General features: G+C 39.8%; 1 protein-coding gene across 2 annotated transcripts in view; it reads left to right on the forward strand.

Annotated features, from left to right (window-relative positions):
* Positions 1-25,032, forward strand: part of SRGAP2C (SLIT-ROBO Rho GTPase activating protein 2C) — a 207,900-nt gene that overhangs the window by 132,842 nt on the left and 50,026 nt on the right. For both annotated transcript variants that reach the window (NM_001329984.2, NM_001271872.3), the window contains exon 4: positions 6,662-6,824. In NM_001329984.2, the coding sequence (NP_001316913.1) occupies positions 6,662-6,824 (163 nt within the window). The remainder of the gene's footprint in view (positions 1-6,661; positions 6,825-25,032) is intronic.

Genomic DNA, 25,032 nt, shown 5'->3' on the forward strand with positions numbered 1-25,032 from the left:
TGAGAAGGTGGGTCTACCACTGCTTGAATCCTTTCTAATCATCTGTCTAGGCTACCGAAGACAATTTGTGGTACTCACTTGTCCCTGAAAATTTAAAAGTTCATTTCTCCATATGTAGACTATATTATTTTTGCCTTTGGCACTTTTCTCTGTCTCTGAACTCTCCTCCTCTGATCTCATTGCTGGCAACGCTGAAGCCAAAGCTGTGATAAGCCCGGAGAAGTGTGCCCGCCCCCTGCCTGCCCGTCTGTCTTTGAAAGATACCTTCAGGCTGCCGCTGTACTACTGGGTCACAAAACCAGCATCCACCATTACAGGCAGAATCGTTTTCAAGTCATTTCCTACCTTGGTGATTTTTACCCCCTCCTTCTTTTAACACCTTCCCCAGCAAATCCAATCCATCCTCTGGCTTATCTGGGTCAGCAAGGGTCTGATTTTATGCATGACACTGTCAGACCATAAATCCGCTGCAGCTTTGCCTCTCTATCCAGCCTGCCTGCTTCTGTCAGCATCAGCAAAATGCATAATAGAGAAAATAAGCCAGAAAGGCTAATAACACTCATCTGAATAAAATAATCTCTTTGGCTGCCTCAGTTCATTTCATTTTAATCAAGGTGCCAGGAGGGAATTTAGGTTAAAAAATCCAACCTCCTTCTTGTCACAAGTTCCCTGTCCAACCATCACTTAAATGATTCCTTTTATCATGCATGTACCTTTTTTTATTCACCACATACTTGTATGTTCAATAACATATATTGAATGATGTATTTAACTCTTTAAGTTTTGTCTATCATCACAGATAGGTCTGTTTTTAAAAGCGAGAAATTATATTCTGCTTAGATGTATTGATAGTTGCCATCTCGCTATGCAGATTGGCAGGTTTGATAGGAATTCTGAGACAGGGGATGGGAGCTTAGTATAAGTTGCTGAAGCATCTAGGGTTTGGGCAATCTGTGCTCCCTTTGGATTCCTTTCTGTCAACCTCAGCACACAGTTCCCAGTGTGGAATGCAGGACTGATTGTTCTACCTTGTCCCTTAGGGAAAGGACAGTGGGAGATTAAAATCTGCTCTCCTGTTGGTATCTCTCTCACGTCTTCCCAGAGCCTTATGGCTGCTTTGTTAATTGCCTGTTGCTGCTGTCTTACTCAAACCATTATTTGCTGAAGGCTGTGCATTTTCAGCAGGCAGCAATCTTGGCCCTGGCCCAGAGCCGGGTGAGAAGCATGTTGGAAATTGATGAAAGCTGAGTCCTAGTTTGTTTGGAAATAAAAATAATAATATTTCTTCACATTTGTATAGTGCTGAACTATTGGCATAGTTCTTTTGCATCCATCATTTCATTTGATCCACACAACAGCCCTGAGAGGTGAGCAACTTAGAGACTATTGGCCCAAAAGGAAACACACCTCGTTATAGCAATGCAGAAGCTCAAGCTATATTCCAGCAATGCCAGCCTCATGCCATGCATTCCATCTGCACAGCCATGAATGTAGCAATTATTAATTAAATGGCACCTTAGGTCAGGAGAGCGTCTAGGATTTTACAGCCATACTTTGAAGATCTTTGAGGAGTGAGATGTATACCAATAGGGCACGTGTCCATTTTATAGATGAGATGATAAAAACCAAACAGAGGTGATATGGAAAAGAACCATAATAGAGAGGCCAACTTGGACCTTTATGGACTTGGCTCTTCACCATGGATATTTTAGAGAAATCCCTTTAAGCGCTTGTTGCTAAGTTTGTTGAACGTCCATAAATAGTCCAAGTTGAGGGAGAAAAGCTGGGCTAATGTCTTCGAAGCTAATGATTCAGCTATGCAGGTTTATCTCTTTCAGTGCATTTACAGTGATAATGTCTTCTGCAGATGTACAGGCAGCATGTGACTTTCCGGGTCTCCTTTCGACTCCAGAGTCATTCCCTCTCAAGTACAGTATGATGTTTTCTTGATCTTCCTCCTGAAAAACATTTTAAGTAAGAAAAATACTCCTAGGTATTTTGTCTGCTTTTTAGGGATTAGTGTTTGAGGAGGTTTGCAGCTGCTCAGCACATTCCTAAGGGATGCAGACCCTTTCCTTTAAAGGCCCAAGTATTATACAACCTAAGGCTCTGGGGGTGGGGAAAGTAAAGAGACTGTGCAAACAAATGATAGATGGAAAAGATATAAAGACAAATTTCAATCTCCTAACCAAACGAAGTTCCCTTGGCTTCAGCGGTCCCAAATAAAATGAGGCTGCAAAGCTTCTGGAGCAGGAAACCACTCTAGCAGAGCCTTAATATGCTCCCTATGAAATCACGTCTCGTTGCCGTGCTTATTTTCCAGCCTGAAGTGGGTTTCATCTTTGTTCGTGTTGGCTGGGAAAATTGTCTGTATATTTGTGATCCCCTCCTCCCACTTTCTCTCTACCTTACTTGCTCTACCACTACCCAAAAATAAATAAATGAATTAATTGAAACACCTCAGTTGAAAGGAAGAATATGTCTGAGAAAGCTTACAGACTCAAAGGACCAGAAATATTGTGTGAAAAGCTGCATTAATAGTAGGAGAGGCTGAGAACTCCTGGAAGAAACAGCCAACAGGATCTAGTGCTGGTTTTTTAAGCATAGACTCCTTTTTTAAAATAAAAATCTTGCATAGAGCCTCAATATATGAAACAGATCAAAGCAGTATTTTTATTGGTATAAATCTGCTTTTAAAGTACAAATTTATAGAGTACTTATTATACTGTCAGTCAATGAGAACAATGAGGCTGTTTTTATGAACTAAAAATATTGAGATCAGGATTATGAATCAGTTATAGTTTTATATTCATTTCAGCATCTGGTTTTGGTTTAGGTAGTCCAATATCAAGAAAATTCTGATTAGCATAGATAAGTTATTGTAATCTTGAGCTTTAAATTGATTTAGATGGAAAAAAGAAGATACTTTTGTTTTAAAGTTGAGTCACTATCATCACCTAGCAGCTATTCCCCTTCATAAATATTAATTGGATAAGCCCCAACATGTATAATAGGCATCGCAACAACTGATGATGAGATGGTATGATATTAAGCATGTTGATTTTCGCTACCCAACCACGGTCTAACATAAACCCAGCCTAGGCCCTTGAGCCTTCTATGGCATGTGATTGAACCTTGCTGCTGTGTGTCAAGTTATAGGCTCACCTGTACAGCTTTATTGGAGGAGGCACACACAGGCGTGAATGAAAAAATAAACCTATGCAAAGCTACATGTATTCTAATTAATAGCATATTGTTCAGAAGTTCCAAGGCATACAGTGATTCTTTCTTCCAGGGTTTACATAAAACAATGCTAGCAGCCTGCAAGACATTGCAGTGGTATCTAACGCAGGGAAACTGGGTCCTGGGTCTCTTGCTCATGTCAGTGAGGGTTGCTCATTTGAATGGATGTGTCACCGTTTTTTAAATTGAAATGTGATTTTCTGCTAATTCCAGAGTATCTCAGAACACAGTTTAAAAGCTCCTGCTCTCTGAAACCAATACTAATACTGTAACTATCGCACAAAATGCTGTAAGGATGGAAATAAATACATGTGAAAAGTACTTATAGCACCTTGCAAGTTCTTTTTTCTTTTTTTTCTTTTGTTTTGAGATGGAGTCTTGCTCTCACCCAGGCTGGAGTGCAGTGGCATGATCTCAGCTCACTGCAACCTCTGCCTCCGGGGTTCAAGTGATTCTCCTGCCTCAGCCTCCCAAGTAGCTGGGATTACAGGTGTGCACCATCCACACTGAGGTAATTTTGTATTTTTAGTAGAGATGGGGTTTTGCCATGCTGGCCAGGCTGGTCTTGAACTCTTGGTCTCAAGTGATCCACCTGCCTTGGCCTCCCAAAGTGCTGGGATTGCAGGCGTGAGCCACACCTTACAAGTTCTCAATAAAACTTATTAGCATTAAGTGATAAGGCATTTTATTTTAAAAGATTTCTACTTCCAGCCATCCTGTTTATTGACCCATCTTTGTTCAGTCATCTTTTCTTTTGAGGACACCCTGGGGATATGTGCTCTGCATCCTTTCCCATGGTGTTAGGTTGATTTTGCCTCCTCTGCTTCCTCTTTTGATCTGAGGTCTACCTTTCTGAGCTAGCTGGCCTTTTGTTTGTACCACCATTAAAGTTCTACTTTACTATAGGTCTTTCTTTGTCTCCCTTACTATATTGCAGCATTTGCACTTTTATAACCACTAAAGCACCTAACACCATGCCTTGTTCATTTAAGATACAAATGTGTGTACATTTGTGGAATTGAATTGTGGCATTATTTGTGTGTATGTAAAGTGCTATAGGGAAAGAACCAGTATAGACCCCCCCAATCCATCTTCTTCCTTAAGAAATAGATTGAAACCAATTGTCAATGTAAAGTCTCATGAGATCTGCCCCTTTAAAAAGCATGCTTACTGAGGACATGGGTATCTTGCCGAGAGACACCACTTGATTAAAATGTAAATTAGGTTATTTAGAATTTTGTAACTGAAATCTAATTGGAATCATTTTGAAAGTTTTCTTGCAATGGAAACATCAGATGCTATGGAATGCATGTGTTCAAATATCTTACCATTTTGAATTTAGGATTGTTTCCAGTTCACTTTTTTTTCCCCAGATACTAAACATTTTGAAAGGAGTAAATTAATTATGTGTCTCTCTTCCTCTCAGCTGGTATATTTTTGATTTCCATAGAAATCTTTCAGTTTCCCTAAAAAGGTAAGTGTTGTCACAGTGATTGGCACGCTTAAGAGTTAGTGATTTTGGCTACAGAAGAGTGATGCCTGGGGCAGGGGGTGAGTGGTACCCGGATACAGGTTTAGAACAGTTTCAATTTGGACTCTAATATTAATTGGTTTGAAGTAACTTCTTGGTTGGGTTAGACAGATATTTGATTTGTCTGATGTGTTCTGAAGTCCAAGTAAGTATGGCATGATTATTTGTTAATAGTTACTACTATAGAATTGGAAAAGCCTTCTAAGTTGAACTTCATGGTTTACAAATCACAAGTGCCTGGCCTTTAGTGCTGAATGGAGGCAGTACTGACCCAATAACCAAGCTACTCTCAACTCACTTTCTTTGTAGTAGGAGTCTGACTGGAGCGGGGAAGAGAGGAAAGGGGGAAAGAAACAGATAGTTATTATTTGCAGTGAATGAGAGTACTCGCTTTGCAGTTATAGGCTTGGTTTGAATTCTGGAATTGCCACTTTTTAGCTATATGACCTTGGGCAAAGTGTTTAAAAATTTTTAGTCTACTTTTCCTCATCTGCCAAATGTGGTTAATAACACCCACCTCATCAGGTAGTTGTGGGGTTTAAGTCAAACAACATGTATAAAGGGCCCAGATATGTGTACAGTATCCCTTGATAAATAGTACTGCAAATTATTCCTACTTTTGTTTCTCTCCTTAAAGAAATCCAACTTCCAAATGTAGAACTTTCTGTTGCTTAAGTTAATGCTGAGTTGGTAATCAATAATTCTTTTGGATCACAATGTTTTCATTAGAAATGAGCATCTAGGGCCGGGCGCAGTGGCTCACTCCTATAATCCCAGCACTTTGGGAGGCCAAGGTGGGTGGATCACATGAGGTCGGGAGTTCAAGATCAGCATGGTCAACATGGTGAAAACCCATCTCTACTAAAAATACAAAAGTTAGCTGGGCGTGGTGGCAGGTGCCTATAATCCCAGCTACTAGGGAGGCTGAGGCAGGAGAATCTCTTGAAAGCGGGAGGCGGAGGTTGCAGTGAGCCAAGATTGTGCCACTGTACTCCAGCCTGGGTGACAGAGTGAGACTTTGTCTCAAAAAAAAAAAAAAAAAAAAAAAAGGGAATGAGCACCTTGGTTTAGCACTTTACTGCTCCACTCAAGCTGTAGACATTTTAGGAACACATGTTCAGGTATGGTTTGTGTTCTTGATTGTATGGGACATGAGATCATGGCTCAATAAATGAAATCAAAACTTCCTTAGATGTGTTCTGTGGAACTCCAGAGTTTTCAGTAACATTTTAATGGCATATGTCTCCAAATTTGCCTTTATTAAATCCTACAATGGATACATTTGTGGGGATTTTGTAGTGCTGTAGTGATTTTTGTGTCTAGACAAAATCTCTAACTTTGGTTTCTAACCCTAGAGACAAACCAAATGACTTAGTGGCTAAAATGATGGACTTCAGAATCACCTTAGACCTGGTCTAGCCAGACAATGCAGAACTGTTGTTCTAGTCCCTGGTGCCCTCTTACTTGTTGTGTTAGTCTTACTCGCTGTAGACAAGTGACAACCTCTCTGAGCTTCAGTTTTCTAATCAGTTGAAGGGGGATAATGGTAGTTCTTTCCTTAAAATGAAATGATAGAGCTTAGATGAGATGAGATAATACGTATAAAGCATTCACCAAGTTCTTAGAACATAGTAGGTGCCTAACAGATAATCCTGTTTCTCCTTGTACATCCCCTCTTCCCTCCCTCTCCTTCTTGTCCTTATTTTCTCCTTTTTTCTCCACTGAGTTTTTAGAAAAGGAGAAAACTAGAGAGGTGAGCTTCAGGAAAAATATCTTTATTTCTGGATTGGCTTTGATTGCTGTGATTTTAGGACACGGACTATAGTTGTAGATGTTGCCCTGGCTGTGTATCAACAATGACTTCTTTTCCTTGATGTTTCTTCACAGGAAGGATCAGAATGTTCTCTCTCCAGTCAACTGCTGGAATCTCCTCTTAAACCAGGTGAAGTGGGAAAGCAGGGACCATACCACCCTGAGTGACATCTACCTGAATAATATCATTCCTCGATTTGTACAAGTCAGCGAGGACTCAGGAAGACTCTTTAAAAAGGTACAGAGATATTTCTAGTCACAGAGGTTCTTGGGTGGAGCAATGACACAATTTTTAAAATCCTATTAGATATTATGTTGATTACCTGGGTGACAAAATTATCTGTACACCAGACCCCCATGACATGCAATTTACCCATGTAACAAACTTGCACATATACCCCCCTTGAACCTAAAATAAAAGTTGGAAAGAAAAAATAAAAGAAAGAATATCTTATTGGCCCACTTCATAGGCTTTCCACTAGTCATTCCCTACCACATACTTGTGGAGAAAAAAAATATTTGAATTGGCATTCCTTTCTTCCTTTCTGAGCTGAATTAATAGTAGCCTTGGGAAAGGAACCATTTGCAAGGTATAAACCCAGGGCTGGTACTATAATTCATAATCTGCATCTATTAACAAAAACTGTGTTTTGGGAAGTTTTCTTAAAGTGATTTGTGAAGCTGTTGAGCTTAAGGGGCCAACACTGTCATTTTATGTTTTCCTATTCTAGTTCATTTAGCAAACTCATATACGTTTATGTTTTTAGTTTAGTTTTCTTCCCAGGGTCTTATCTTGGCCAAGGTAGACTCAAAAGTGTGGTTATTCTTATCGTGGTATGTCTTTGTCTTTGGGTCTCTGAATGCTTTCGAAACTCAATTGTTATCGTACTTCCTTGGGTATAGGTTGAACAATTTGACAAAGGAAAACTCAAAATAATCATGATAATCTTAAGGAGCCAATTCACCTTACCTGTCAACGATGGAACTAGCCTCTTGAAAATCCAGGAAGCTCTTTTCTAAGCTGTCTCAGCTTGAGCTCAAAGTGGAATCATTTATTCATGAGGTTGGGTTACAGACAGCGGTGAAGGCCCCAACCATTGTATATGATATGCCATGTCTACCATTCAAGCATTGACATCCCCGGAAGACTTTCCAGAAGGCAAATAATCTTCCTAAAAGTTATAGGTAGAAAAAGATTATAGAGGGCTATTTAGAATTCATCAGTTTCCAGGTGACAAAATCCATTATTAAAATTTGAAAGTATGAGAGAAAAGACTGGTAAACAGGACTGTAGTCGATACAGTCAAAGCTCTTCATCAGCTTTCCAGTTCTCAGGAATTTTTCCAGATTTCACTAGATCTGGAATTAATACCCCATTTTTTTTCTGTAATTACCAGCCTGATCAAATAACTGATTTGGAATCTTCCATCTACCTAATTGCATCCGTGAAGGTGCTTTCCCTGTGTCTTAGAGACAGAATATTGAGGGTACAATCATCTGACGACGAAAAGAAGGCAGAGAAAGATAACTCCTCCCAGAGCTCACTGGCTATTATTAGTAGCCCGGCTGTGCTGTGGTTGGGGCCACACCTCATTTTGGAGTGAGGGTACTTCTCACCATCTCCTCCATGGTTTCCAGCATCAGCTTCAGCTTGGTTGTCATTAATTTGAATTATTCTGCAATACTTGGTGATGCATGTGTGTGACTAAAATTAAAACCTATTTAGGTGAAATTTTGACAGCTCGTCTCTATGACCTTGACAGCCACTTAGACTATCTCAAGAAGGAAAGGGCTTGACTGATAGTTTCCTCCTCCGTTTTCTTTGTTCATCTGAGAAAACAACTTTTATAAGATCTGTTCACCTAGCTAGACTTCACCCAGTCTCTCAGCTCCCTTTTTACCAAGCCTTAGAAGGTTAGAGAAAAACCAGGCTAGATAATTTAATAGCCTCTCCAGATCTCAGAGATGCTTATACTGAAGGCAGCCAGATAGCAAAGTCACGAGTGTTCCTGGCTCTTCAAGTGCCCTATGCATATTTCACCAAAGGTAGGTACATGGCATGTATACAAGGTGTGGGGCATATGACATTCATGAAGAAAATTCGTCTGTGAATGATATTCCTAGCCATGGGCTCAGGGTTGACTTCCTTAAGCCGTGTATTACTATGCTAGAGCGTGAGGAAGAACTTATTTCTCATAGGACTGTTTATATATTACATTTCACTGAAGAAAAGTATGCCTATTATAATTTAATAGCTATATGCATTTTCACAAACTGAATTCACACTTGTGTAACCAGCACCCAGATCAAGAAACAGAACATTTCTGTACCCTAGAAACCCCCTCATATTCCCTTCTAGTCATCTCCCCACCCTAAATCCCCCAGGATAACAACTGTCTTGACTTTTAACAGCAGAGATTAGCTTTGCTTGGTTTCATACTTTATATAAGTAGAATTGCACAGTATGTACTCTTTTTTGTTTGGTTTCTTTCAATATTATGTTTGTGAGATTTATTCATACTGTTGTGTATAGTTGCAGATCATAGGAATTTCTCTTGATCTTTGTAACTTTGGATCAATTAAATTGTAGTTGATTAGAGACATGCCCAGGGTTGTTGAATGGCCAATGATTACTATCCCACAGGGTGAGTAATCTCTTTTCTCCCTCCCTTGGGGCATTCCCATGTAGGCAGAAAACTCTTAAATTAGGAGCTGGTTGGCAGATCATAAAAATAGATTGAGCCAAGCACCATGGATCATTCCTGTAATCCCAACAACTCAGGAGGTCAAGGTGGGAAAATGCTTGAGGCCAGAAGTTCAAGAACAACCTGGGCAACATAACAAGACCTTGTCTCTAAAAAAATTTTAAAAGTTAGCTGAGCATGGTGGCCTGTGCCTGTAGCCACAGCTACTTGGGATGCTGAGGTGGGAGTATTGCATGAGCCCAGGTGTTTGAGGATGCAGTGAGCCGTGATCATGCCACTGCTCTCCAGCCTGGGCAACAGAACGAGACCCTGATAGTTTGAGGATGCAGTGAGCTGTAATCATGCCACTGCACTCCAGCCTGGGCAACAGAGAGAGACCCTGATGGTTTGAGGATGCAGTGAGCTGTAATCATGCCACTGCACTCCAGCCTGGGCAACAGAGAGAGACCCTGACTCCTAAAAAAAAAAAATTGATTCATTCTCTTTTGGCTGGGTAAAGAGCCTCTCTGCTTTCTAGTAATGGGCAAACAAACATTCTTCATACCACACCCCAGTTTTTTAACCTCTTTTGTTTAGAGTGTCCTTGCACATGAATTAGAATCCTACTGGTTAAGATATAGTATCAGATAAGAGTCCTAAGGAATGTCCTCAGCCATTCTGTAGTTACATGAATCTTCCCGGGGATTTGCTTTGTGCTATCAGAGGAGATGCCTTTTCCAAGTGACCCTTTCTCTTGGGCCTAGTTCTGCTCTTAACTCTGAGACCTTGGACAATGACTTCTTTCTGTGCCTCAGTTCCCTAAACTTTAAAAAAAGAGTGTGGTCTATGTGATCTCCATGGTGCCTTCCAAATTCAGGATACCACAGTTCTGTGACGATAAGGGGATCCTACACTGGGGGCTTCCTTCTGGTTGTTAGGTTACCTTTGTTAAATTGTGATAGGTAAATTTTAATCCCACAGATAAGGACAAACAAAAGTGGATATAGGTGTGGAGAGGGCTAGCTTAAGCAAATGAAGACCAGATTTCTTGAAGAATGAAGGATTATTTCAGGTGCTGATATCTACAATGTCAGCAATGAAGAAATACCAAATTGGGATCCAAATACATAAAATAGATATGTTTTACCAGTAAATTTGGTTCCAGTGGCAAAAGGACCCATTTCTCTGGGGACATAGGCTTAGAAAAGATACCTTAATTTGTGGTATGGCTGTACACACCTGTGCTTTATGTGAATTTGGGTCTGTTTGTCACTAGCAAAAGTCAACATTTTTAAAAATCTTTTTTTAATCTATAAAACTTAATGATTCACTGCAAAAATTATGATAATAGAAGTCATTATATTTTGAACCTCTATGTGCCAGGTATCATGTTAAGCACTTTATATGTATTATCTCCTTTAATCCTTACCGTAATTTTATAAAGTAGTTACTATTGTCATCATCGCTGTTTTATGAAGGAAGAAACTATGGCTTAAAGAGATTAAGCAGGCCAGGCACAGTGGCTCAAGCCTGTAATCCCAGCCCTTTGGGAGGTTGAGGTGGGAGGATCGCTTGAAGCAAGGAGTTCAAGACCAGCCTGGGCAACATAGCAAGACTCTGTCTCTACCTCCCTCCCCCACTTAAAAAAAATTAGCTAGGCATGGTGGTACACACCTGTAGGCCTAGCTACCCAGGAGGCTGAGACGGGAAGGATCACTTGAGCCCAGAAATTTGAGGCTGCAGTGATCTATAATCATGCCACTGTACTCTAGCTTGAGTAACAGAGCCAGACCCTGTCTGTTTAAAAAAAAAAAAAAAACAAAAAACAAAAAACAAAACAGAGGGCTGGGAGTGGTGACTCATGCCTGTAATCGCAGCGCTTTGGGAGGCCAAGGTGGGCAGATCACCTGAGGTCAGGAGTTCAAGACCAGCTTGGCCAACATGGTGAAACCCCGTCTCTACAAAAACACAAAAATTAGCCAGGCAAGATGGCCAGTGCCTGTAATCCCAGCTACTCAAGAGATTGAAGCAGGAGAATCTCTTGAACCCGGGAAGTGGAGGTTGCAGTGAGCAGAGATCATGCTGTTGCACTTCAGTCTAGGCAACAGAGCAAGACTTCGTCTCAGAAAAAAAGAAGAGAGAGAGAGATTAAGAAAAATGAAATGAAGCTAACGTTTAACTCCAGTCACTTGGCTCTAGAATCCAACGTTTTCATCTACATACTGTATTAGGATTCTCTAAGTATGTTGTACAGAGAAGAGAAAATCCTGGATTTTCTCTGTTTCATTGAATTCAGATATTTCACTTAGTTATAGAATTAACCTAATTTTTCTTTTGCACATAAACCTTCAAAGGGTATGGAGATGTTGAACATCAACATTGGATTGTTTTTCCTACCTGGGGTTGGGGCAAGCAGCTGGAAGTTGGGAATGAAATAGGGCAGCATGTTTACACTCCTCAGGGGCAAAATATCTCTGCCCCCTGTAAGAGGGAAACAAGGACTCATTAAATGTGAGAATTGGCCCCAAATCTGGCTCACAGCTAATTTAGCTAATTTAGGGATGTCAGGGTGGCTGCACAATTGGCCCCTCTATGCTATTGAACCCCCTTAAGGGAGGCTCCTTGCTAGCCCTCTGGTTTGTGGTAATGTCTGCTGGGACATATTTTACATTTTGCATGAAGCCATGTTGGAGATTCCTTTAGCTAAATATAACATCTGAAGAAAGTAGCCTCCTGTTCACAGCTTAAAAACAGTCTGACTTTGTCTAGGACAAGAGGGAAAATTGAGCCCGTTTGGTGCTCCTGACATCTCCTTTCATGTAATGAAAGCTCAGTCTGTCTAACCTCTGTTGGAACCAGGGTTTGGGCAAATATTATTGCTGCCACCTTCATTTGTTTAATGCGGTGGCTTCAAAAACCATGGGCAAAAACTGCCAAGTTTGACTCCCATCTCCCTGTGGTCTCCATGAGGGGCATGTTCTAAAGAAGCCCACCAAGAACAGAAATAATTTTTCCCACTTGCTTAGTTTAAACTGAAATAAACTTGGGTGTGCTTTTTCCTACAGGAGAGAGGATAATCCTGTTTTCTCTTTTTACTTAGCTGGAACACACTAAAAGTACCTCTGACTTTGCTTTCTCAAATCACTGTTTCTAGCCCTTCACAGCTGCTCACACTTAAGCTTGGAAGCTGGTCAGTTCAGACAGTGCTAAGGCTCAGTTGCATCCTTGTTTTTACAGCACTGCAGTGAACTGTACTCCTGCTTTGCTGTTAGGACTCTTAAGTTTCTATGGCAAAAATTTAGGTTAAATTGAAAAAGCCAAGTCAGATTCCCTATAGACCAGTAGCTTTCAACTTTGCCTGGGCATGAAAGTTACTTGGGGAGTTTTAAAAAAATCTTTGTGACCTTGAATAAACAAAGGTTTCTTAGAATATAAAAAGCATGAACCATAAAATTTTATAAAGGATAAGTCAGACTTCATCAAGTCTTGGACTTTTGTTCCTAGAAAGACTTTATTTACAAAATGAAAGACAAGACGCAGACTGGGAGAAAATATTTGTAATATGTATCTGACATGGACTTATATCAGATTATAGAATAAAGAACTCTGAGAACTCAGTAATAAGACAAACTACCCAAATTTTTAAAAATGGAAACAGGTTTTAATAAACATTTCACTAATAAAAATATACAAATGGCTAATCAACACATGAAAATATGCTCAATATCATCACTCGTGATGGAAACGCAAGTTAAAACTGTAAGAAGATATACCATACATTCACTAGGATGGTTAAAATTAAAACATCTGGCAATACCAAGTGTTAAGGAAGTTGGCCAGAACCCTCATATGTTGCTAGTGAGAGTGTGAAAGTGGTACAACCACTTTGGAAAATAGTGGCAGTTTCTTATGACATTAAATTTGTACTTGTCATATGACCCAGTAATTCCAGGTATTTATAGGCATCTACCCAAGAGAAATAAAAGCATATGTCTAAACAAAGACTTGCACCTGAATATTCATAAAGCTTTTGTGATAGGCTGAGTAATGCCTCCCTCAAAAAAAAAAAAAAAAAAAAAAAAAAAAAGAGGTCCATATTCTAACCTTTGGAACCTGTGAATGTTACCTTATGCATGTAATACTTTGCAGATATGACTAATTTAAGGATCTTGTGATGGGGATATTATGCTTAATTAGCTGGGTGGGCTGTAAATGCAATCACAAGTGTCCTCATAAGAAGGAGATTACAGATAAAAGAGAGGAAGGTCATGTGATAGAAGCAGAGGGAAACAGAGTCATAGAGAGAGGATGCTATGCCACTGGCTTTGAATATGGAGGAAGTGGCCATGAGCCAGTGAATACAGCTCTAGATGCTGGAAAAGGCAAGGAAACGGATTCTTCCTGAGAGCCTCCGGAGCAGAAGCAGCCCTGCTGACTCACTGGTTTCAGCCCAGTGAAATTGGTTTTGGAGTTCTGACCTCCAGAACTCTAAGAGAACAAATGTATGTTGTTTTAAGCCACCATGTTTGCAGTAATTTGTTACAGCTGCCTTAGGTACTTTATTCATAATAGCCCAAACTGGAAACAACCCAAATGTCCATCAACAGATGAGTGGAAAAACATATTGTAGTGTATCCATATATCAATACTACTCAGCAATAAGAAGGGAAATGCTGATACAATATAAATGAGCTCAAAAAACATTATGTTGATAAAAAGAAGCCAAGCACAATGAGTACATTCTGTATGATTCTGTTTCTATAAAATTTTAGAAAAAACAAATCTGATCTATAGTGATAGAGAATAGATATTGATTGCCTTGGGGCCAGGATGGGGATGAAGGATTGACTGCTAAGGGACACAAGGGAGTTTGTAGGGTTTTTATAGCCTACATTATATAACATTTTAAACAATGCTTTATAACATTTTTATAATGTTACATAATCTTGACCATGGTGGTACATTAGACAGACTTTATCATATTATACACTTAAAATGTGTACATTTTATTATGTAAATTATGCCTCAATAAAGTTGATCTAATTTAAAAAATACCCATGCCAAGACCCTACCCCAGCATGATTTAGTCAGAATCTCTGGAGTAGGGCCTGGGTGATTGTTGCCTACAGCTAGGGCTGAGAATCACTGCTGCACTGTTTTCCATCTTGGGGAAACTGCAGAGCACAGAGAATATCTGATGCCCTAAGATCCTGTCTATCTGTATGTGAGCCATGTTTGCCTCTGCAACAGACAGTGTTAAAGCATCTAGGCTAGTTTCTCTAGGCAACCCATTGTGGTTTCCTACTTTATTCTTGGAGGGTGATGAAGGGTGAAGTTAGCTTCAGATAAATAAATCTGGTGACAAAGGGTGAATCTGGCTTCCTTCACACTGCAGGAAGTGGGGAATGCAAGAAGAGTGCTGAGGAAGGAATGTAAGAGACTCAGTTAATACTTTTCTCCAGGGTCTTGGAGATGTTAAACATGTCCTTTTGCCATTAGTGAATCAGTCACAAGAGAATTGCCACAACAGTCAGATTTCTTTTGGCACTAAGGAAATGAATCTGGTAGTTAAAAAGGATAAATGAGATTTAAAACTAAAAGCAGTGCATGTTACCTATCTGTTTGGTATCCGTTTGGACTGAGATAGGATTTCCTATGGCGTGTCTTGAGTCCAGCTGTTTGGCATGTGTGAGAAGAGTGGATGATGAAACTGTGAGAAGGCATTTTGGGTGGTGTGATGGTCATAAATAAGAAGAGGAGAAGTGGTGACCCACAATGCTGGTATAGTTGAATGTCCCTGGTAAGTGCTGTGGATTGAATGAATGGAGGAAAAGAATGGTTTTCCAAAGGTTGTGTCCCTGTGCTCTGCCCCCTTAAGAAAGGGTTTAACTCTTTGGGAGAAGGAGTAGATGAGTGATTTAACCCTCCCTCCCTTCCCCGTCTACCATATCCCTCCTGCTCGTCTGAACTCAGTATCTGTGATTGGACTGAATTTCCTCCACATTATAGCATGGTCACTAACAGCGTTTGCACAGTGCTTTACAGACAGCTGTTCCAGTTGCCCAGTTTATCTTGTTGGTAGCAAAAATCTGTTCTAATTAATTGAGCTTTATTCTCTCATATCTGATGAAAAGATCCTCTTTGGAGAAAAGAATAGAATGTGAAGCTGAGCTTATTTGAGTAGGGGATGGAAGGCTGCCAGCTACTTCAAAGGTATCTCTGCTGATAAGGGGCGTCAGGTTTGCTGCCAAAGCCAACACCGAGGGGAGCTTTGCAGCTCGTGCTGTTGGGGGTGTTTTAGCTTTGGTTTCTGTGACACTGGGTCAGCAGCATCTGTGTGCTCTCCCTTGAGGCTGCTCTCTGGGTGGTCCAGGCTTTTATTTAGACTTAGGAAGGTGCAGCTCAAAGGGAATGTGTGCATCAAAGATGTCTGTAGTCTTTTGCTTAGGTTAGTTTGTGTGTTTGCCTTTTTGGTGTTTTAGTTCTTAGGTATCTGCCTTTTCTAAAAGAGCTCAAGGTGCTATATTTAGAACTTTCAAAAGTATAATAGTACTTCGATTTGTATAAATCAAAGGATTATTAAGGGAATCTGAAGACGAGGAATGGAATATGGGAAATGGAATATGGGAAAGAGAGGTGCAGTAGACAAAAAATAAAAGTGTCCATATGCAACCTTGTATTGGAATACTACCCTAAATTAGGAGATTATACAGTCAATAAGTATTTTAGTGAATACTGCATGCACAGCATTATGCTGCTAGGTGCTTAAAAGAGCTTGAAAATCAAATTGAGGAGTAAGATTTGCCTCCCAAGGGAGCTTGGGGTTTTTGGTTTATTTAGGTCTCTCAAAACTTTCTGTGGGATGATGATGATGACAAAGTAATAATAGTAACCTTTCGTAAAATTCACACTGTGAATACCTCCCACTGTAGTAGGCCCTAGATGTGTATTTTCTCTGAACCTTTCATCTATTTTTGCAAAGTTTTTTTCCTAAACTATTTATGAAAGTATAAAATACTTAGAGAAAGTACACATATTATAAAGTGTACAGCTCAATGAATTTTTACAAACTGAATACAGCTATGTAATCAGCACCCAGATGAAGAAAGAATGTTACTAGTATCCCATGAACCCTCCTTCTCTCCACTTCAAGTCATTACTCTCTGAAGGGTAACCATTATCCTGACTTCTAACACAATATAAGTATTTGCCCATTTAAAAATTTGTTTGTGTAAATGGAATCAGATAATTTTTTTCAACAACTTGAATATGTAATTCACTTGCCTTCTGGCCTCCATTATTTCTGATGAGAAATCAGCTGTGGTTCTTAGGTTCTTATTATTGCTTACTTGTATGTAATATATCATCTTTTTGTTTGTTTGTTTGTTTGTTTTAAAGAGATGGAGTCTCTGTCCCCCAGGCTGGAGTCCTGTTGCATGATTACAGCTCACTGTAGACTCAAACTTCTGTGCTCAAGCAATCCCAGTCCTTCCGTCTTGGCCTCCCAAAGTGGTGGGATTACAGGCGTGAGCTGCCATGCCCAGCCCTTCTTTATTTGGCTGCTTCCAATATTTATTCATTATCTTTGGTTTTTAGTTCTTTGATTATCATAAGAGTGTAAGCATGGTTTTCATTGTATTCCTTTGGCTTGGTTAAATATAATATCCAGACAATCCCTGATCTGTCAAATATCTAATTTGTAGAAATTGTAGGAAAAATATCAAATTTTTCCTCAATTTGAGAAAAATTTTTGGCAAATATTTTTTTCTGTCCCATCTCTCCTTCCTGTTTTGCTTTGTTATCAATTGCATGTATGTTAGACTACTTGATTCAGTCCCACAGCTTGTTAATGTTCTGTCCATTTTTTTCAAATTTTTGTTTTCTGTATGCTTTAGTTTAGATGATTTCTAAAGTTTACCAATTTGGCTGGGCATGGTGGCTCACACCTGTAATCCCAGCACTTTGGGAGGCCAAGGTGGGTGGATCACTTGAGGTCAAGAGTTTGAGACCAGCCTGGCCAACATGGTGAAACCCCGTCTCTACTAAAAATACAAAAATTAGCTGGGCATGGTGGTACGTGCCTGTAATCCCAGCTGCTCAGGAGGCCGAGGCAGGAGAATCACTTGAACCCGGAAGGTGGAGTTTGCAAGAGGCTGAGGCAGGAGAATCACTTGAACCCGGAAGGTGGAGTTTGCAGTGAGCTGAGATTGTGCCACTGCACTCCAGCCTGGGAGACAGAGCAAGACTCCATCTCAAAAAATAAATAAATAAATAAATAAATAAATAAATAAATAAATAAATAAAACAACCAATTCTTTCTTTTGTTCACCTAAGATGCTATAAATGCCATCCAATGAATTTTTTTTATTTCAGATTTTTTTTTTTTTTTTTTTGAGATGGAGACTCACTTTGTCACCCAGGTTGGAGTACAGTGGTGTGATCATAGCTCACCGTACCCTCAGACTCCTGGGCTCAAGTGATCCTCCCACCTCAGCTTCTCATGTGTCTGATACTACAGGTGTGTACCATCATGCTTGGCTAATTTTTTTAGAGATGGGGTCTCGCTGTGGTTCCCAGGCTAGGCTTGAACTCTGGGGCTCAAATGATCCTTCCCCTTCAGCCTCCCAATTATTGTATGTATATTTTTAAAACATAGTTGGCAATTACTTAAAAATTCTTGTTTGCTATTTTTAACATTGACATTATCTGTGGGTCTGTTTATTGATTTTCCTCTTGACTTTTTTTTACATGCCTACTAATCTTTTATTGCATATTGGACATCATAGATAATATGTCATAGAAACTCTAGATGTACTTATCTTCCTCTGAAGAGTATGAAGTTTTATTCTAGGAGGCTATTAAATTACTGGTTGATCACCTTGATCTTGTGGGGGCTTGGCTTTATACTTCATTACAGTGGGTATATTTTGGTTTTGCCCTTCGTCTTAGAAAATACTGTATACTTAAGGCATGGCCTTTCTGGGGTTTCCATGGGAAACCCAAGATGTTTATCAAGCCCCTCTAACTAGGCAGGCTTTGAATGCCAAATTCTATCTTCCTTACAGTGGGCAGCACCTAAGATGACCAACTATCCTGTTTGCCTTGGGCTGAGGGGGTTCCTAGGACATGAGACTTTTAGTTTTATCTGTTCAACTGTTGATGGCATTTGGATAGTTTTCAGTTTGAGGCTATTATGTATGTTATAAATAATGCTGCTATGAACATTATAATGGGAAGTTATTCTTTCCAGTGTATGGTTGAACCTGGTCACAAGCCAGGCTTTAAGAATAGTGAATTCAAAACCTTTTCTCTCTCTTTCTCTCTCTCTCTCCTTCTCTCCCTCCTCTGTCTCTCTCCCTCCCCCCCTTCCTTCTCCCCTCTGCCTTCTCTTCCCTCTCCTTTCTCTCTTCCTTTTCCTCTTTCCTTCTCCCTCTCCTTGTTTCCTCCTTCCCTTCCTTTTCTCTATTCTTTTGAATAATCTTTTAAATTTTATAGTAGATGTATATGTTATAGAAAATTTAAAAATACAGAAAGCAAAAATATGATATAAAAAACAGATTTATTGTACATACTATTTTGTAATCTACTGTTTTAGTCAAGAACTTTCTCCTTTACATTTCAATAAACTTTTGTCTCATCTAATACCCAGGCCATGTAAAGATTTAATTAATTACTCAAAAAATCTCTTTGACAACTAGTTTGTCCAAGCCAGTATCTAATGCACACAGTTTTATGTCCCTTAAGTGTACTTTAATCTAGTATTATTTTCTTTCCATGAAACTGATTTGTTGAAGAGACCAAGCCAGATGTCCTGCAAAATCTCCCATCTTCTAGATTTGTCTGGTTGTTTACTTGTGTTGTTAAGCTTCTGCCCGTATCCCATATTTCCTGTAAATTGGAAGTTGGTTCTAAAGGTCCAAGTGGATTCAAGTGACTTAGAATGCATAATAAGTGATGTTAGTACTTCATGTAGCATCAGAGCAGGAAATACATAACATCTAGTTAGTCTACCGATAGTGATGCTAATATTGGCACCCTCTAGAATAGGGCTGTGATAGTCTGACCCTTCCATTTTCTAGTTACATTTTTTAAATCACATGATAGAAACCTGATTGTAAGGTGTTATTCATGGTGCCAGCCTACAAATATTGGGTGCCAGTTCAGTCATTCATCTGATAATTTTAGTATCAGTTGATAATTTTAGACAAGCTACTTTTTGTCATCTCTGTACCTCTCTTACTTGACTATAAGATGCCTCTCTGAGGCTGGGCACAGTGGCTTATGTCTGTAATCCCAGCACTTTGGGAGGTGGAGGCAGGTGGATCACCTGAGGTCAGGAGTTTGAGACCAGCCTGACCAACATGCTGAAACCCTGTCTCTACTAAAAATACAGAAATTAGCCAGGCGTCGTGGTGTATTCCTGTAATCTCAGCTACTCAGGAGGCTTAGGGAGGAGAATCGCTTGAACCTGGGAGGCAGAGGTTGCAGTGAGCCAAGATTGTGCCATTGTACTCCAGCATGGGTGACAGAGCAAAACTCCGACTCAAAAAATAAATAAATAAATAAATAAATAAAATAAAAATGCCTCTCTGAGAAAAGGAGAGGATTGTTAATACAGCTCATCAGGCACCATGCAAATAGTAGTTTGTAAAAACGTATTAGTCTTGGGAGAAACCACACACACGAATAGTGTGCAAGCTGACTAGGTGTCAATTTGTTATTATTAAGAATCACAGCAATAATTTTTTTAAAAAAAGCATAATTCTAAATGAATGCTAACCATGCCTAGGGACTGTGCTAGGTGTTTTACATGTATTAACCTATTTAATCTCATCACAACGACACTTTGAGATGAGTACTGGTTTTATCATCCCCATTTGTAGATAAGAGCATGGGCAAAGGGTTTAAGCAATTTACTGAAGATTATACAGCTGGTTGATGGGAGAAATGGGATTCAAGCCTAGGCAGTTGGCTTCCCCTGATCTCTTCACATCATCATGCTCTGCTGCCTTGCATGTAGGAAGGTGGCAGTCATATTGGTAAGCTAAAGAACCAGTGCTTGTGCAGGGAATTAATGACTCATGCATTCTGCAGTCATACGTTGCTGTGCTTCTGTCAGGTCAGAATTTCCATTGTGCTATTCTGATTCTGCTTCTTGCCCAGCTTGTCCAGAGAGAGAGTAGCACCTTTGACTTTAGCCTCCCTTGTTGCAGGACAGGCTTCTGTTGACTCCCCTATTTATCTTTGTCAAGACTTTTCCTTTGAATTCCTCCCTGCTTGTCTGAGCATGATTTTTATTTAAAGTGAGGACAAAATTTAAGTTTTCCTCCTTTTGACACGGCGTCTTCAGTTTTTTTTCATTTTCATCTTCTTTCCTTACAATACTGGACTTTCTCTGGTCTTTTAGTTTTTCTACTAGATCCTACCTTTCTTTGCTTTTAAGCCCAGCCCTTGGGGTTTTTTGTTTTGTTTTCTTTTTTTTTTTTCCTTTTTCTCTGTTCTCTACAAATCATTTGGGTCTACATCCAGCTTCTCCCAGCATTTACTCAATATGAAACTTCCAGTTATAGATTAATTTGAATTCTTTGCACTAATTGTTTAAAAGACCATAGGAACCTCAGACCATCCCTCTTCATGGTCTCAAGAGCTCCCAGAATCATCCTCTTGGTAAGCTAAGTAGTTATTAGTAAGGCCCAGGGACAGGACTGAGAAGTAACATCTTCTATTTTTTATTTCAGTTTTCCTTTAATTTGGAAGCAAACAAACAAAAAACCCTTCAGCTTAGGGTTTTTTCAATTGTTAAAGTAATACTGAGCTTCAGTTAAGGCTATGAAAGAAAAGAAAAAATTTTAAAAAGTAGTAACGTGTTTTTTTCAAGATATTGTGGGTAAAAACATAATAAAAAGAAAATAATAATTACTTGGAATCATGATTCACATTTTGATGTATTTCCTTCCAATCTTTTTTATACACATTTTTTTAAAAATGAGAGTTACATTATATATTAAGCTTAGTGTAATTTTTTTCATTTAACATTTGGAGAAGCATTTTTATCATGTCATTGCATCTTCTTTTAAATGTTGCCTATATGATCATATAGCAGTCTGTAGTCTGGCTGTCCCATAGCTTTTTCATATATTCCTTATGGTTCTTTGGCTATGTTGTCTTTTTTTTTTTTTTTTTTTTGGAGATGGAGTTTCTTTTTTTCAGGCTGGAGTACAGTGGCGTGATCTTGGCTCACTGCAACCTCCGCCTCCCGGGTTCAAGTGATTCTCGTGCCTCAGCCTCCCTAGTAGCCGGGATTACAGGCGTGGGCTACCACATCCAGCTAAGTTTTTTGTGTTTTTTTAGTAGAGGTGGGGTTTCACCATGTTGGCCAGACTGGTCTTGAACTCCTGAACTCAAGTGATCTGCCTGCCTTGGCCTCCCAAAGTGCTGGGATTTCAGGCGTGAGCCACCACGACCAGCTGGCTGTTGTCTTGACTCTCCCCTGGACTATGTTCTTGTACATCTAGAAGCAATTAAAAATCTCATTGTTGTCTTTTTGGAAATCACTTGTTTTTAGGATGACTAGGTAGCCAAGGCTTTCATTTGGAAATACCCTACTTCCATTTAATATAAGGTAAGGAGAGAGGGTTTTTCCCCCTGCTGCTTTCCCTTTTTCTTCCTCTTCTGTCTTGCTCATTGTCTTAGAGCTTAGTTGAGAATCAGTGCTACGCCTGAGCCTGGGCCCTGGCTGGCTCAGTGGAGTTCTTTCACCATGCTGAGTTTCACTTTCCTCATCTTTACACTAATGAAATTACTCATACCCTCACTGTTCCTTCTCAGAATGCTATAGGCATCAGTAAAACCTGGGAACAAAGTGCTCTGCAAAGTTATGTTATGGTCAGAAGGTATCTGGTTGTGTTCATGCAGAAGAGCGTGTGTCTTGTGCCTTCGCCCAGCTAGGGTGGTCTTTGCAATCTCTAAGCTAATCTTTTTTTAGCGGTATATTATCATATAGGCTAGAAAGGAAATACAGAGAACAAACTGGGCGATCCAGTCTCCAACTTTAATCATCTCTTCTCCAAAGCCAAGATAATCCAAGCCTTCTGACCACATAAGCATTGCATCCCTTCCTGCCTTGCCTCTTCCCATGACCTTGTTTTTCTTTTGATGTTCATTTTGAGGGTGGAGAGTAGAAAAAGCATTCTCTTTTTGCTGCTCTCAGAGTCAGTGGTCTTTCTGGACCTTTAAGTTCTCAGGAAAGGAAAACCACATAGTCTACCTGAGCTTTCAGGGACTGAAGGAAAAAAAAAAGTATTGCTTTACTCAAATTCAGGACCACAAATAACCACTACCAACCCATTCAGTTGAGTTTAATAATATTATTTTATTGTCTGTAATTGCTCGGTATTCAAGTTGGCAGTATAAAAGGCCTGCAGAGCAAGCTTAAAACATGGTTCAAGATCTTAGATTTCTTACATCTCAGGTGAAAGACAGACCATAGACTCCCAAAGCAGGTTACAATTTAGATAGCAATGTAATGAGTCGTACAGACAATTTGTTGTCTATAGGATCTTGGAAAAAAAACAGATTCATGAAAAGTAAGTCAGGAGAGCTTCATAGAGGGGAAAGAATTGGGCCGATGTTCTTTTAATTACCTGCTGCCAGGATTCTCAATTAGCCATCTGTTTCTTATCTTACAGAAATATCTTTTGAGGATTTCCATATTATCTGATTCCAAGTTCCTTTCCTGCCTCTTTGTCCCCATTAGAGATGTCACTCATGAGGACAGTCTGACAGCAGAGACTTCCTTTTGACCAGCAATGGGAGAAATATGTGGAAATAGCTTGAAGCCTGAGTATAGAAGGCTTTGAATGCCAGTCCAAGGAGTTCAAACTACAGGTCAAAGAGAGCCATTGACAATTTTAGGCAGGGCAATGAAATCTTGAAAACCATGATTTCCAGTGGCATTGGCAGCAGTACTCAGTGTGGTTTAGCATGGAAGAAACTATATAGGAGCCTGCTACAATAATTCAGAGGGATAATAGAAACTTGGATAATGACAATAGGAACTAAAAGAATTAGATTTACCAGAAGGCAGAGGAAAGACATTATAGACAGGACTGAGTGGCCTGACATGAGGTGGGAGGAGGTCATTCAACTTAGTCATTCAGCAGTTCACTTAGTCATTCAGCAGATATTTACAGTGTGCCTCCCATGTTCCAGGCACTGTGCTGGGCACTGGAATATAGCAGATAACAAAAAGTTCTTGCCTTCATGGAGCTTATATTCTAATAGTTGAAACAGATAATACATAAAAAAGTAAATATATAATATATCAGATGATGATAAAATGAAACAGGGCAAAGAGGATGGGGTACAAGGGATATTGCTCTTTTATATAGGGTGGTCAGAGACGGCTTCACTGATAAATTGGCATTGGAACTGATTCTTGGAGGAAATGAGGGGTTTTGCTGTTTAGCTCTTTGAGGAAGGTATTTCAGGCAGAGATAATAGTGCACATCTAAGGCCATGAGATGGGAATGCGCTTATCTGGTTTGAGAAACAGTAAGGAGACCTTGTACAGAGTAGGCAAGAGGAAGAGTGGTGGGAGATGTGGTCTGGGGCAGCGAGCAGGTTTCTTCAGGAAGGGCCTTGGAGGCTACTGGAGGACTGGAGAGGCATGATACAGTCTGACTTCTGTTTAAATGGGATTATTCCAGCTTCTGTGTGAAGAGAGTGCTTTAGGAGGAGTAGGGTGGAAGCAGCAAGGGAAGACCAATTAAGGGAGCTTCTATAAATAATTAGGGCAGGAAATCATAGTGGATTGAAACAGGGTGGAGCTTTGGAGATGGTGAGAAGTGGTCAAATTCTGGGATATATTTTGAAGATGGAGCCAATAGGATTTGCTGCTTGATTGATATGGTGTATGAAAAAAATAGCAGTCAAAGATGACCCCAAGCATTCTGGCCTGAACGATTCGAAGTTGGAATTGCCATTTATTGAGGGAAGTGTGTGGAAGAGCCACTGATTCTAGTCAAGCCCTGTAATTCATGAAGAATCTGAGAGCCAATGAGAAGTAACTTGCCTTAGTTTACCCAGTTAGGTAGTAGTTGAGATGTGACTGAAACTACCAGGTCTTCTAAATTCTACTCACTGCTCTGTCCAGTACATACCATATTTCTGACTTCAGCTTTAGACATGGTAAAGGGAAGGTTTAGTGAGGGCAAGAGCTAGAAGAAGACTTGAAAATTAACCACACAAAAGACCAGTTGAGGTCATGAAAGGGTATTCAGAGTAAAGGGTAGTTGAGGCCTAGAAAGAAGACTTTGAAGAGCTAGCAAAGAAGAGAGAAGAACAAATTAAAATGGGCAAAAGGAAAATGAGAGTAATATGGCTCAAAGGACTTAAGAGAGAAGAAGACTCAATGATGAGTTCTGTGAAGGGGTCAGGAAGAATGGGAACTGAACAAATGTCATTAGATTTGGGTTTTAGAATCTTGGGAAACTGTGGTGCCTACAACTTAACCTCCTTTAAAATTTTAAGCACTTTTCTTGCCGTTTCAGCTAATAAGGAGAAGGAATATAACAGGGTAAGCCTGAGACAGAGAATTAAAAACAAATTTACTTCCAACTCCTGCATTACCTTCTTGTGAATCCTACACAAAAATTTGACTTTCCCAGACTCCCATGTGCCCATCTATAAACTGAACAAGAAGCATACTTCTTGCCCACTTTGCCTCCTGGAGATCCTGTGAGGATAACAATGACAAAGGAT

The sequence above is a fragment of the Homo sapiens genome, chromosome 1, assembly GCF_000001405.40.
Source record: "Homo sapiens chromosome 1, GRCh38.p14 Primary Assembly".
In the NCBI taxonomy this organism is placed as follows: Eukaryota; Metazoa; Chordata; class Mammalia; order Primates; family Hominidae; genus Homo; species Homo sapiens.